This window comes from Homo sapiens, chromosome 13 (genome assembly GCF_000001405.40).
Source record: "Homo sapiens chromosome 13, GRCh38.p14 Primary Assembly".
Taxonomy (NCBI): Eukaryota; Metazoa; Chordata; class Mammalia; order Primates; family Hominidae; genus Homo; species Homo sapiens.
This window is the reverse complement of record NC_000013.11, coordinates 45,502,929-45,516,701: the sequence shown is the minus strand read 5'-3', so window position 1 is coordinate 45,516,701 and position 13,773 is coordinate 45,502,929. Positions and strand designations below refer to the sequence as shown.

General features: G+C 40.4%; 1 protein-coding gene across 4 annotated transcripts in view; it reads right to left on the bottom strand.

Moving 5' to 3' along the window:
- The window catches only part of COG3 (component of oligomeric golgi complex 3), a 71,763-nt gene that overhangs the window by 20,000 nt on the left and 37,990 nt on the right, over window positions 1–13,773 (bottom strand). For 3 of the 4 annotated variants that reach the window (XR_429222.5, NM_031431.4, XM_047430702.1), the window contains exons 14-17: window positions 13,353–13,458; window positions 6,886–7,010; window positions 4,848–4,937; window positions 439–559 (exon numbers count right to left, since the gene is read on the bottom strand). Coding sequence is in view for 2 of the 4 variants with exons in the window: in NM_031431.4 (NP_113619.3) it covers window positions 439–559; window positions 4,848–4,937; window positions 6,886–7,010; window positions 13,353–13,458 (442 nt within the window). In the remaining 2 variants the exon portion in view is untranslated. Of the gene's footprint in view, window positions 1–438; window positions 560–4,847; window positions 4,938–6,885; window positions 7,011–13,352; window positions 13,459–13,773 lie in introns of those variants that run through there. The other variant, XR_007063702.1, reaches the window with a different exon arrangement.

Sequence of the window (13,773 nt, the reverse complement as noted above, 5' to 3'; positions counted from 1 at the left end):
AGGAAGAAAACCCAGTGCTTTCAAATTCTTAGATAAGTACTCTTCTCATTTTACCCAGCTGGCTTCCTGAATTTTCATAAACTGACAAACTCAACTCAGTGCTTAAAATCATCCCAACTAGCTGACATTACTTACTTAGGAAGCAGTTATTATACAGATTTTTCACTTTTTAACTGGTTGTAGGAATATGTGGCAGAGTCTAAATGAGTCTAATATTACAAACTGAAATGTCCAGATACAGTTCCCTTCATAAAGAAAATACAGCAAGTTAGAAGTCATTAGCATGGTGACAGCTCAGCTTAGTACGAACAAATAACATATTTAGCAAGCAAAGCATGCAAAAAATTGCAGATGAACATAAAATAAACCTAAAACCTGTGCTGACACATCTGGACAGATCAAACACACCCAAGTGTGCCAGCCAGGACAGCAAAGTACCTCTAGTTTTCTTGAGGTCCAGGGAAATTTCCTTAATGGTGAATTCAGTGTGAAATGGAGCAATTTGTTCACGAAGTATCAAAAGGTGCTTAATTAAGAAAAGTTGTCCATCAATCTGAGTCTAAATTATAAGACAGAAAAATGGATATGATCACATATTAAATCAAAATAAAAGCATATACAGCATACATTATTAATCAACATTAATCTACCTAGGTTTACAGCCTATGGTGTCAATTCTCTTTAGTTGTGCAATGAACTCTCCCCATGCTAGAATTAAGTTAAAAAATCTTGCTTCAAACTCTTATTTGCACTGTCACTTGCTCTACTTTAAAAATCCAAGAAAGTCAGACACAAGGCTGTAAAGCAACACATTTACAAAGAGAAGTCCAATCTACTTTCACCTGGTGCAGAGGTAGAAGAGATGATGCAGCCTAACTGTGGCCCAGAGCAGAGGAGGTAAAGAAAGGCTCAAATAACAAGCAGGATCCTGACCTGGCCTGGCATTCTAGTTTCTCCTCAGGAACATGGCTTTCACTATTTGGTCAAAGTGGTTTCAATATCTAGAACATCAGACATACTTATATTTATACAAATGTAAAATGATTTGAGGTTGCCATTTTGGATCCTCCTGCCACCAACAGAGCTCTGACTACCCACATCCCTGAAGGTCCAGCATGTCCTTCTGCCCTCTCAGGACCCATCCACAAGAGTCTTGTGATTCAAACTCCGTTCTCAAACCTCTGACCCAATCCTCAAATACTGAATAATCATAGCTCTCATTTCAGAAAAGAGTTTGTATATTAATAAGAGCAAGGCTGTATTTGCTCCTTCTTGCTGTTACTCAAGGCAGAATCTTATTTTGAAAATATTGCTAATGAAACTTTTATATTACCTTAGGAAAAGATAAAGTTATCTTTCAGTAAGCAATATAAATTTTAAAGGAGTTATTAAATGAAGATTCCTTCCCAGTCTCGCTTACTCTCTCCACTGATTTTAATAAACATAATCAGTGACTTATGTCATGGAAACTCACTCTGCATACGGGAACACAGAGCACCAGGTAAGTGGGAAATGCTACACATTTTAAATACTTGCTCTATTTTTAAAAGACCTAACAACTCTGATGCCAAAAATTGTATCATATAGATTTTATTACTTCACTAAAGCTATTGTAATCCAGCAAATAGTATCATGTTAATTTGTTGACAGGTGCTCAGTTTAAGTATGTAAGAACAATTTCTTGCCTTAAAAAACTGTTTAAGACATTAATCCATTTTCACTGATCACTTTTTAAGATAAAAGTACACAAGCTTGGCCAGGCGCGGTGGCTCACGCCTGTGATCCCAGCACTTTGGGAGGCCGAGACAGTCGGATCACGAGGTAAGGAGACAGAGAAACCATCCTGGCTAACATGGTGAAACCCCGTCTCTACTAAAAATACAAAAATTAGCCGGGCATGGTGGTGGGCGCCTGTAGTCCCAGCTATTAGGGAGGCTGAGGCAGGAGAATGGCGTGAACCTGGGAGGCGGAGCTTGCAGTGAGCCAAGATCACGCCACTGCACTCCAGCCTGGGCGACAGAGGGAGACTCCATCTCAAACAAACAAAAAAAAAAGTACACAAGCTCAACCATGAAAATAATAAGCTAGTGTCTATCAAATTGAGAGCTTCTCCATACATATTTAAACCTCTTATAATATGTAGGAAACAGAATTAGATAAAAGAGGATGGCCTACAGATAAGGAGGGCAAAAGACCGAACTATCAAAACGCTTTTCATGCCTCCCTTAAGAGAAAGGACATGGCCAGGTGCAGTGGCTCACTCCTGTAATCCCAACATTTTGGGAGGCCAAGGCGGGTGGATCACTTGAGGTCAGGCATTCAAGACCAGCCTGGCCAACACGGTGAAACCCTGTCTCTACTACAAATGCAAAAATTAGCTGGGCGTGGTGGCACACACCTGTAATCCCAGCTACTTGGGTGGCTAAGGCACAAGAATGGCTTCAACCCAGGAGGTGGAGGTTGCAGTGAGCTGAGATAGCGCCACTGCACTCCAGCGTGGGTGACAGAGTGAGACTCTGTCTCAAAAAAAAAAAAAAAAAAAAAGAGAGAGGACAGTGGTACAAGAGGACATAAGCCTATGAACTTTTTTTAAAATTAGGTCATATTTTTCCCTCCTGAGATCTGAGAAACACAGGATCACTGTAGAAAATAAAGAGATGTATAGGGAATGAGAGAAAAAATCATCCATAGTCACCTAAAAGCTTTCACTGTTACATATTTTCTTCAATGCATTTTATTACATAGTCATACCATATTATCTGATTTGCATCTTAAATACCTGTTGTCTTAATATGTTTAAGTTAAATTTTATTGTTTCATTTTTAAAAATTTAATGACTGTGTAATATTGTTATATAAAACATGCCACAATTTATGTAACCATTTCCTTAACATTAGACATGTGTTTTCTAATTTCACCTATTATCAAAAATGTGCGGGCACAGACTTGGAAATACTTGTTAAAACTTAAATCTGCCTGTCTATAACTTTATTTCTAGTCCCCATGTGAAAATTTCATTTCACCTCTCCATTTCATGAATGAGAAAAATATAGTGGTCACAAAGATAAAGCTTTCCTAGCAACAAGATCCCAAATTATTCTGTGGAGAGATACATATATATAAAATGTATATATCACTTTTATATATATAATTTATATGTATATATTATATATATAATTTATATGTATATATTATATATATAATTTATATGTATATATTATATATATAATTTATATGTATATATTATATATATAATTTATATGTATATATTATATATATAATTTATATGTATATATTATATGTATAATTTATATGTATATATTATATGTATAATTTATATGTATATATTATATATAATTTATATGTATATATTATATGTATAATTTATATGTATATATTATATGTATAATTTATATGTATATATTATATATAATTTATATGTATATATTATATGTATAATTTATATGTATATATTATATATATATAATTTATATGTATATATTATATATATATATATAAAAGCCTTAAAAGTCACGTTTATAAATCCATATATCAAAAAAAGTTCACAGGATCTGAACACTCCAAGTGGGAAGAAAATTTTGGCTAGAAACAGCTCCCACAGCTCCTTCCCTATAGGTGACAGGTATTTTAAGAGGAGAGTTAAGCAAAGCAACACTTTTGAACATGCTCTACTTCCTGGGAAAAAAAAAAAATCTCAGGGTCTGTGGGAGAAGCACATGCCAGCAGCCTTCAGCCCCAGATCCCTTCTGGATTAAAAACTGTAAACCGCTAAGTGCGGTGGCTAACACCTGTAATCCCAGCACTTTGGAAGGCTGAGTCAAGAGGATCATTTGAGCCCAGGAATTTGAGACCAGCCTGTGCAACATGGTGAGATCCTGTCTCTACAAAAAATAAAAAATTTAGCCAGGTACCTGTAGTCCTGTTGCTCAGGAAGCTGAAGCAGGAGAATTGCTTCACCTCAGGAGGTTGAGGCTGCAGTGAACAGAGATCATACCACTGCACTCCAGCTTAGGTGACAGAGTAAGACCCTCTCTCAGAAAAAAAAAAAGGCCAGGCACAGTGGCTCACACCTGTAATTCCAGCACTCTGGGAGGCCAAGGTGGGCAAATCACTTGAGCCCAGGAGTTTGAGACCAGCCTGAGCAACATGACAAAATCCTGTCTCCACAAAAAATACAAAACTTGGCAGGGGCATGAAGGTACATGCCTGTAGTCCCAGATTCTTGGGAGGCTGAGGTAGGAGGATGGATTGAGCTCAGGAGATAGAGGCTGCAGTGAGCTATGATCACACCACTGCACTTCAGCCAGGGAGACAAAGCAAGACCCTGTCTCAAAACAAACAAACAAAATTGTAAGCCATACAGTCATGGTGACTCCTTCTAGTCACACAACCCAGAGCCACAATTACCTGTCCTCAAAATTGACTGACTCATTTCCTCCATGTAAGAACATTCAACTATTTAAAACATTATCGTAGAGAGAGATGATTATAAATTGTGATGTTTCCTTGAAAATGCTTTCTTGGTATTCCAGGGAAATAGTATCATTTCCCCAGTGGCTAGGACTACAACAAGAAACCTTTACTCTATAGAATGTGTAACCTAAGTACCACTTTTGGTACTTTAGCAAAGTTGGACTCTCTTATATAGTACAGTCTTTATTTAGCACTATAATGAAATAACAGTTTCTCTCAAAGAGCCTCAAAATTCAATCATGTTAAACAAATCCTACTGCCAAAACAGCTTTAAACTTCTGTGCCTATAAGTAAATGCTATATTCCACAATATTTTACCAGGAAACAGGATTTCACCTAACACTTCATCAAACCTTGTTTTTGCTGATAGACTCTGACGCTCCAAGTAAGGACTGAATGCAGGCAGACAATGCTTCCTGTGATAATCCTTGGAACACTGCCCTCTGGTGGAATAAAAGAGAATAATCAGCCTGTGGCATTTGACAAAACAAAAAAAAAGGAATATCCTAGGCTGTAAGTGCAAATAACAATGCCTGCTTGCCCTCATGGTTGGATTAATTTACTACTTGTATTATTCTTCCTGGTTTCCTATTCCCATGCAACCTTTCTAAACCAACACATAGATATGTAATATGCAGTCATCCCTGGAAACATTCATGTGACCATTCAATAAATATTGATTAGCATACTAGGCACTGTGCTAGATGCTAGAAATATAGGCAGGCATGGTTCTGACCTCACGGAGCCTTCGCTCCAACAAGATCTCATGTGGGGCTCTTTTTTAAATCTCTAAAACCAACTTTAAAACAAACCCTCAGTAAATCCACTTCTAAAAATACAACAGAATTGTATTTTAGGAAATCATGTACATGGCTCTTCATTACAGTATTATTTAGAACAGCCATAAACTGGAAATAACATAAATGTTCAAAGACAGGGGACTGACAAATAAAATAGGACTAAATCTAAATTATAGAATACTGTTTATGAAATCAAAGAATGCTGAAGGAGGCGGTGAAATTCATAATGGAGTTTAAAAAAAAAAAAAACAGGTTACCAAATGGTATAGGCAGTATGATTCTTAATTTAATTCTGCCATTACTATCTTCCCAGAGGTGTGGCATGGTGGTTGGACCAGGACTCCTGTCAGTCCCCTTGCTTCACTCCCAGCCTCCATTCTACATAAATATGAGCCTATTCATTATTAGGCCACTGTCCTGGGCCCTGGTCTCCAACTTGATGTTATTCTCTTTTTACATTGCTTCTCCCTGTTCTGTGGTTTCCCACAAGGCTATTACTATAGGAAGGAGAGATTAGAGCTGCCACCTGCTGGGTCACTAACCCTGCCTAAGAAAGCTTAAGATGAGCAGCTTAGACCAAGACCCTCGCCTTCCCTTGCTCAGCCTTAACGTATTTTACACTGGATTGTCTTTCCCCACCTTTGATCGGTAAGACTAAAAGTGTTAAGATTTGAATATAAGCTAGGTGAAAAAAGAATAAGCCAGCCTAAGGCATAAGACAAAACTGGCATAGTGACCTCCTCAGGCCTACCTACTATTAAGCTAAAATCCCTGTTAAGCACCCTAAGAGGTTTTATTTCCTAGAGTCTGTGATGACAATGGGTTCTATGTGGAATATGCCTCCTGCGTATTTTCCTTGGGATCCTGACTCCACTGCAGGAAGTTGCTGAATCTCAGCCTAATATCATTATTCAATAAACCTAATGGACACCCTGGGGAGGAAGAGATGCCAAATATCCAAACCTCTCTCTGGAAGAGATCTCATCAGCTGGGCAAAAAGGCTGAGACATCTAAGTCTGTAGAGGTGATCTGGGCCTGTCCTTAAGAGTCCCAGAACTGGGCAAAAGGCACTTTTGGTAGCATTTCAAAATCTATAAGCACAAAGCCCAGCAATTATGCATTTTAAATTAAATATAGAGTAGTGTACATTCTACTGACCCAATGAAACAACTGTGCAGTCCTACAATATAAAATATCTCTGCGGTGTAAGGGTAAATGCATACTCCTTTTGAACCATATCCTTAAGAAATAGTGGCATCTAGACAATTCATTACATGACTGCTGTATTTAATCATTGCTCTAAATGCAGTCAGGGTCTTCTCTTCAGGAATGCACACATAAAACAGTCATGCAAAATTTGCCCACAATTTTGAGGTGTCCATAGACTCCCCAAAGCCCATTACTGAATTATAAGTTTCTATAGAAAGTTCAGGTTAGAAATTCCTAAATTAGCTTGACCTCAAGTTACTTCCATATCTAAAAATCATGATTTTAAGAATATCCAACAAAATACTTTATCAAGATCTTAAAATGTAAATTTAAAAATATTTCAAGTGAAAGAACGAGCAATTCACAGTAAAGATACACGTACATCTATGCATCTGTATAATTTGGAGAGACAGACAAGAGTTCTTCGAACCGTAGGATACCACATTCCATGAAGATCTGCTGGAGAAATTGTGGTCTGTGGTCTAGGATTGAGGGATTCTGTTGAACCTAAAACCCAAGTGGAAAAGAAGACACATTTCACACATGTGGATATTTGTCTTACAATAATTTACATGGCAACTATAAACTGCTTATTCTCATTAGCTATAAGTAGCTAGAGGGCACCAATTTTTTCCCACCTCAGTTTTCATCAAGAATACCCTAAGAAATCTAAATCAGTGACAGGTGAGATTTAACACAGTAACTGAGAATACACATGAATATGGACATACATACATTCCAGCTTCATATATATATGCTCAACCCAAGTTGCTTTTCCCAAATTGTGATCAATAATCTTTATGGAACATAGGAAAAGCATAATCACATTATAGAATGCAGCCATTAAAAAGGAGGCAGATCGTCTGGGCACAGTGGCTCACGCCTGTAACCCCAGCACTTTGGGATGCCGAGGCAGGCGGATCATGAGGTCAGGAGTTCAAGACCATCCTGACCAATGTGGTGAAACCTCGTCTCTACTAAAAATACAAAAATTAGTCAGGCGTGGTGGCGTGTGCCTGTAGTCCCAGCTACTCGAGAGGCTGAGGCAGGAAAATCGCTTGAACCTGGGAGCCGGAGGTTACAGTGAGCCAAGATCTCGCCACTGCACTCCAGCCTGGGCAACAAAGTGAGACTCCGTCTCAAAAAAAAAAAAAAAGGAAGCAGATCTCTATGTAGTCATGAGGAAGGAAGCAGGTGGGAGCCTGTGGAGGTGGGGGAGTAACAAGAAAACAAAGCACTTCTAAACAGGGGGATTAATCAAATTAGGTTCACCTGTCAGACTGTCTTCCACACTCTGAGTCAAATCACATACAGGCCTAGTTAGTACATCCAATTCCCAGGTGACCAGAGCGGGCTTCCCCCCACCACTGGGAAGGTCAGAAAAGGCAGACTCTGGCGACTGTGAGGAAGAGCAGGTGGGGAGTATGGTTGAGCAAAGACACCTCTGTAAGGGAAGTACAATCACTTCTGGGTCGAGGGACCAAATTTCAAATGAACCATGAAAAGTGGAGCTGGTATAATACTTTGAGACAACAGGTGATATTGAAAGATGGACTAGGCATTAGAGGACATTAGCAAACTCATTAAATTTTTAGTGCAATAATGGTTTATTGTTAAGTAAAAGATGTCGTTATTTTTTGGAGATGCTGAAATACTCAAGGGTGAAGTGTCAATGACGTCAATAATTTAAAATGGTTCATAAAATATATATTTACACACACACCCCAACACATACAAATACACACATACACATATATGTATATATATGTGTATGTGTGTGTGTGTGTGTGTGTGTATATATATATATATATAAAAATATATATAAAAAATAAAATGTTAAGTCTTGAATCCAAGTTGTGGGTATGGGTGTTCATCATTCATCTTTCTTTCAACTTTTCTGTATATTTGGAATGTTTTCAATAATAAGAAAATAGAAGTAGATCTATGATACACTGGTATTAAGTTACAGAGCAAACATTAATTCCTTTTTATAAATGGTTATAGCAGCATATTCTTACAAGAAGGCCTGTAGGTTGTATAGCACAGATTTGAGGGGAAAGGGATGAGGGAGAAAGGTTGAAGCTTAGTGCTTTCTTTCCTTTTTTTTTTTTTTTTTTTTTTTTTTTTTTTAGGTTGGACCTAGGCTCTGTCACCTAGGCTGGAGTGCAGCGGCGCAATCTCAGCCCACTGCAACCTCCACCTCCTGGGTTCAAGTGATTCTTCTGCCTCAGCCTCCTGAGTAGCTGGGATCACAGGCTCATGCCACCACACCCGGCTAATTTTCTGTACTTTTAGTAGAGACAGGGTTTCACCATGTTGGTCAGGATGGTCTTGATCTCCTGACCTAGTGATCCACCCACCTCAGCCTCCCAAAGTGCTGGGATTACAGGCATGAGCCACCACACCCAGGCTTTTTTTTTTTTTCTTTTTTTCTGAGACAGAGTCTGGCTCTGTTGCCCAGGCTGGAGTACAGTGGCACAATCTCAGCTCACTGCAACCTCCGCCTATTGGGGTCAAGCAATTCTTGTGCCTCAGCCTCCCGAGTAGCTGGGATTACAGGCATGTGCCACCACACCCAGCTAATTTTTGTATTTTTAGTAGAGATGGGGTTTTGCCATGTTAGTCAGGCTGGTCTCAAACTCCTGACCGTGGGTGATCTGCCCACCTCGGCCTCCCAAAGTGCTGGAATTACAGGTGTGAGCCACCGTGCCTGGCCAGTACTTTCACTTTACAATTCTGTAAGCTTTTTTTCCAAAAACAAGTACTACTTGTAAAATTTTTTTTTCTCTCTCTCTCACCACTCCTATTTAACTTGTATAATTTTTAAATTTCTTCCATAAGAGCTCACTTTAAACTAACATTTAATTTGTATTAAGTTTCTTAAAGAAAAAGAATAAACAAATTACATCAAAGAATATTTAGGAGATGAAATATTTATAGTTTTCCTTAGGAATATGGTATGTGCAGGATCCCTTCTTCAAAATAAAGTGCCAAAAGAATTCTCCCAAATAAAAGTTTAGTCAAACAAATGTGTTTAAGTACTTTAAAGCCAGAAGTCAGCTTGTGTTCATTTTTTCCCTTTCCTATGTAACTAATACTAGTTCACCGGGGCAAACCCTCAAAAGCCAAGTGCCCTCTGGCTGCCACTCCTGAGGAGCAGAGCAGGCCCCGGGACCAGGGCTTCTCCCACAGCCCTCCTGCACGTCTGCCTCCGTCGTCCTCCACGGGCCTCACCTCCCCCTTACTTGCTCTACATACAGAACAAAGCTGTACTTTTTGAAGGTACTGATAACTGGTCTCTTCACAAGATGGGTCCCTCCACCAATCTGCCCTGACACCTCCTTGTATGCCATGAACTTCACATCATTTAAAGCCCTCCTTTCAGAGGCTTCTCATTCTCTCACTTCCAGCTTTAGAGGTGGGAACCAGGGAACCGGGAAACCAGGAAAAGTGATTATGACTATTCTTTTTGGTTTTGCTCCACTTCCTACCTGACTCAGAGCCTTGCTTTCCACCCCAAGTTCTATCGCCATTGTGATAACACTGATAACTGCACAGATGACGAGCTGTTCATCCTTACCTTCTCAACTCCAAAGACTTTCTCTTCCATCCTCACACCCCTACCCCAGGGGCAGATTTTCTTAATACTCGCAGAATCGCATTCTTATTACTTTCCACAGACTTCCTTCTTCCTCTCAACTGTTCCACCTCTAAAGTTTTAAAACTTAGCATGCCACTTTATAACTACAATGTTCTTGAGATTTCGATCTTCTCACCTGTTTACGCAAACTACACTGCCAACCCCTCCTCCTCTGACATCAATCACACCCTCTCACTTGCCCACTTCTGACCACGCTGGCTGTTCTTTCTTGGTGGGCTTAGTTTACTCCTCTATCTCCATTTGCTCCTTAACGTCAGCACTGGCTCAGTTTCTCTCCCAAGACGTCTGCTACAGTCACTCTACAATCTGTCCTAGGATGATCTTACACAAGCCCAAAGCACCAACTACACCTCATCCTTTATTTCTAAATCAGTCTTTCTCTCTACAGCTCTACGGCAGTGCTGTTCAATGGAAATATAATGTAAATCATAAATGTGACACAGTAAAACGTCACATTTTAAAAAAGTAGAAAAGTTAGCTAGGCGTGATGGCATGAGCCTACACTCCCAGCTACTTGGGAGGCTGAGGTGGGAGGTTGGCTTTAAGCCCAGGAGGCAGAGGTTGCAGTAAGCCAATATCATGCCACTGCACTCCATCCTGCCCGACAGAACCAGACCCTGTCTCCAAAAAAAGAGTAAAAAGAGGCCAGGCACAGTGGCTCACATCTGTAATTCTAGCACTTTGGGAGGCCAAGGTGGGAGGACTGCTTGAGCCCAGGAGTTCAAGACCCATCCTGGGCAACATAGCGAGACTCCATGTCTATTAAAAAAGAAAAAAATGGCTGGGCATGGTGGCCCATGCCTGTAATCCCAGCACTTTGGGAGGCCAAAACAGGAGGATTGCTTGAGCACAGAAGTTCGAAACCAGCCTGGGCAACACAGCGAGACCTCATCTCTTTGAAAGAAAAAAAAAAAGTAAAAAGAAAGCAGGATTGGTCAGGCGCAGTGGCTCACGCCTGTAATCCCAGCACTTTAGGAGGCCAAGGCAGGCAGATCACTTGAGGTCAGGAGTTCGAGACCAGCCTGGCCAACATATAGTGAAACCCCATCTCTACTAAAAAATACAAAAATTATCTGGGCGTGCTGGTGTGCACCTGTAGTCCCAGCTACTCAGGAGGCTGAGGCAGGAGAATTGCTTGAACCCGGGAGGCGGAGGTTGCAGTGAGCTGAGACTGCACCACTGCACTCCAGCCTGGGCAACAGAGTGAGACTCTGTCTCTCAAAAAAAAAAAAGGAAGCAGGATTAATTTTAGTATATTTTATTCAATCCAATATGTCCAAAATATCATTTTAACATGTAATCAATATAAAAATTACTAATAAGATATTTTCCTTTTTTTTTTTATTTTTCTGAGATGGAGTCTCACTCTGTCGCCCAGGCTGGAGTACAGTGGCACAATCTCGGCTCATGGCAACCTCCACCTCCTGGGTTCAAGAGATTCTCCTGCCTCAGCTTCCCGAATAGCTGGGATTACAGGCGCATGCAGCCACGCCTGGCTAACTTCTGTATTTTTAGTAGAGACGGGGTTTCACCATGTTGGCCAGGCTGGTCTCGAACTCCTGACCTCAGGTGATCCGCCCACCTCAGCCTCCCAAAGTGCTAGGATTACAGGCGTGACCCACTGCACCCAGCCTGTTTTCCATTCCTTATATCATACTAAGTCTTGGAAATCTGGTGTGAATCTTACACAATTATGGCACATTCAGACTAGCCACAATTACAGCACATTCAGACTAGCCACATTTCACACGCTCAATGGCAGTGGCTACCATATTGGACAGTACAGCTTCTAGAACCATATAATACAGACCCTCTCAGTTGTTCCACATGGACCTTATTCAACCCTCACATCTGAGGTGCCATCAAATTCTACTGATTCAAACTTCTAACCATATCCCTCATCTCTGTATTTCTCTCCATCCCCCCAACACCACCCTGGTTCAAACCACCTTTATCTTTCAAATGGAAAAATATAACAACTTCCTGATCAGTCTCTACAGTTCTGCCAATAACCCATCACTGCCTCATTGTAATGCCAGTAATGGGTTAAAAAGTAGGCTTTAGTGGGGAAAGAGAAAACGCACAAGTCCGGGGTTGGCAAGACAGAAATGTACTCTCGTCTCTCCCGTGCTCATAAAGAGGTATACTAGGACCAAGAGGTATACTAGGACATGGTATGGGTTCTATTGCAGAGGAGGAAATTTCAGCCCTCTGTGGGTCCTCCCTCCTATAGGGCGAGCATGATAAAATGACTTTGTCAGATGGGCAATATCCAGCTGCTTGACAGTCTGGATTTAGTGTAGCAACTGTTTATAGAGTAGACTCAGAATACCTGATGATGCCCTTCACCTGGGGATCTTGAGGTAGCTGGGGCTCTTTAAAGCCCATGGAGTTACAGTACCCACCTTCCCAGTTGTCCCATGGGGAGCTACGCTTTAGGGCCACTCTTATAGCTGGGTGGGGAAGAGATGGCTTACTTCCCATCTAGCTTGCTGTCTAGGTCCCTAATGAGTATCCAGGGTGATTCTTGGGACAATTTTGCTCCTTGTATAACATGTACCCTAGTCCAAGCCATCCCATACAACTGTGTCAATAGTATTTTACTCCAGTCCCAGACACTCAGTATGCTTACAAAATGCAAATCTGATGGTCCAGTCACCATGATACACTATGCCAGCTAGAAGTCCAAAGGCCATGAGACTATCACATGACATCTATCCCTATCTGGCCTATTTTACCTGCTCCTTCCCCACATACAACCTGGGCCCAAACATACCAAACCACTTGAATTATGCAAAATAGCCATGGTTTTCCATTCCTGCATGCCTTTCTACATTCTATTCTATCTATCTTAAACAAACTTACTTCACCTGGCTCTCTCATACTCTTCATAAACACATTATAGCTCTCAGACACCACACCCCACACTGAGCCCACCTTCCCACACTCAGAGCTCATCTCCCTTCGCAATTTCCATGCCCCTCATCCATGGTCCAAGGGTACCCTGTGCAAACCATTAGCATCTCACTCACCACTGAATTCTGTCTGTGGCTTGGCAATCTCCCCCCATAAAGTGTGGGCTCCTCAAAGGCACAAGTTGTTTTTCATGTCTGGGACAGGACAAGTCCTCAGTAAAGGTTTGTTAACCCAAATGAATAAATGCTGGCAGTTAAGACATCATAACATACCAGATTTTGTCAGACTGTTAGACTCTCCTTCTTCTAAGTGAACATCTGAAAATGAAGCTTCTGAAGGTACCTTCTTCTGTTCATCTTTCAAACTCTGTGCAATCTGCTGTATAAAGAAATCAGAAGGAATGTTACCGTTTTCAGCAGTGTTTGGCAACATGAACATGTTCTTTATACAAAGTACATATATATATATTTTCAACTTGACATTTGGAAACTATTCAGATTTAAGACTGGATACATTCTGAATATTAGAAATGTTTTTGTTCAAGTAACTGGCCAATCCAAATAACAGGTTTTTGCTTTATGTGATAATAGCTACAGTATGCTATTTTTGAAACAGATATTTTTTAAAAATTAGCATGGACTCACTGCCTAAAGAATATCATGCAGTATACAAAGGAGACACCAACTACTAAAT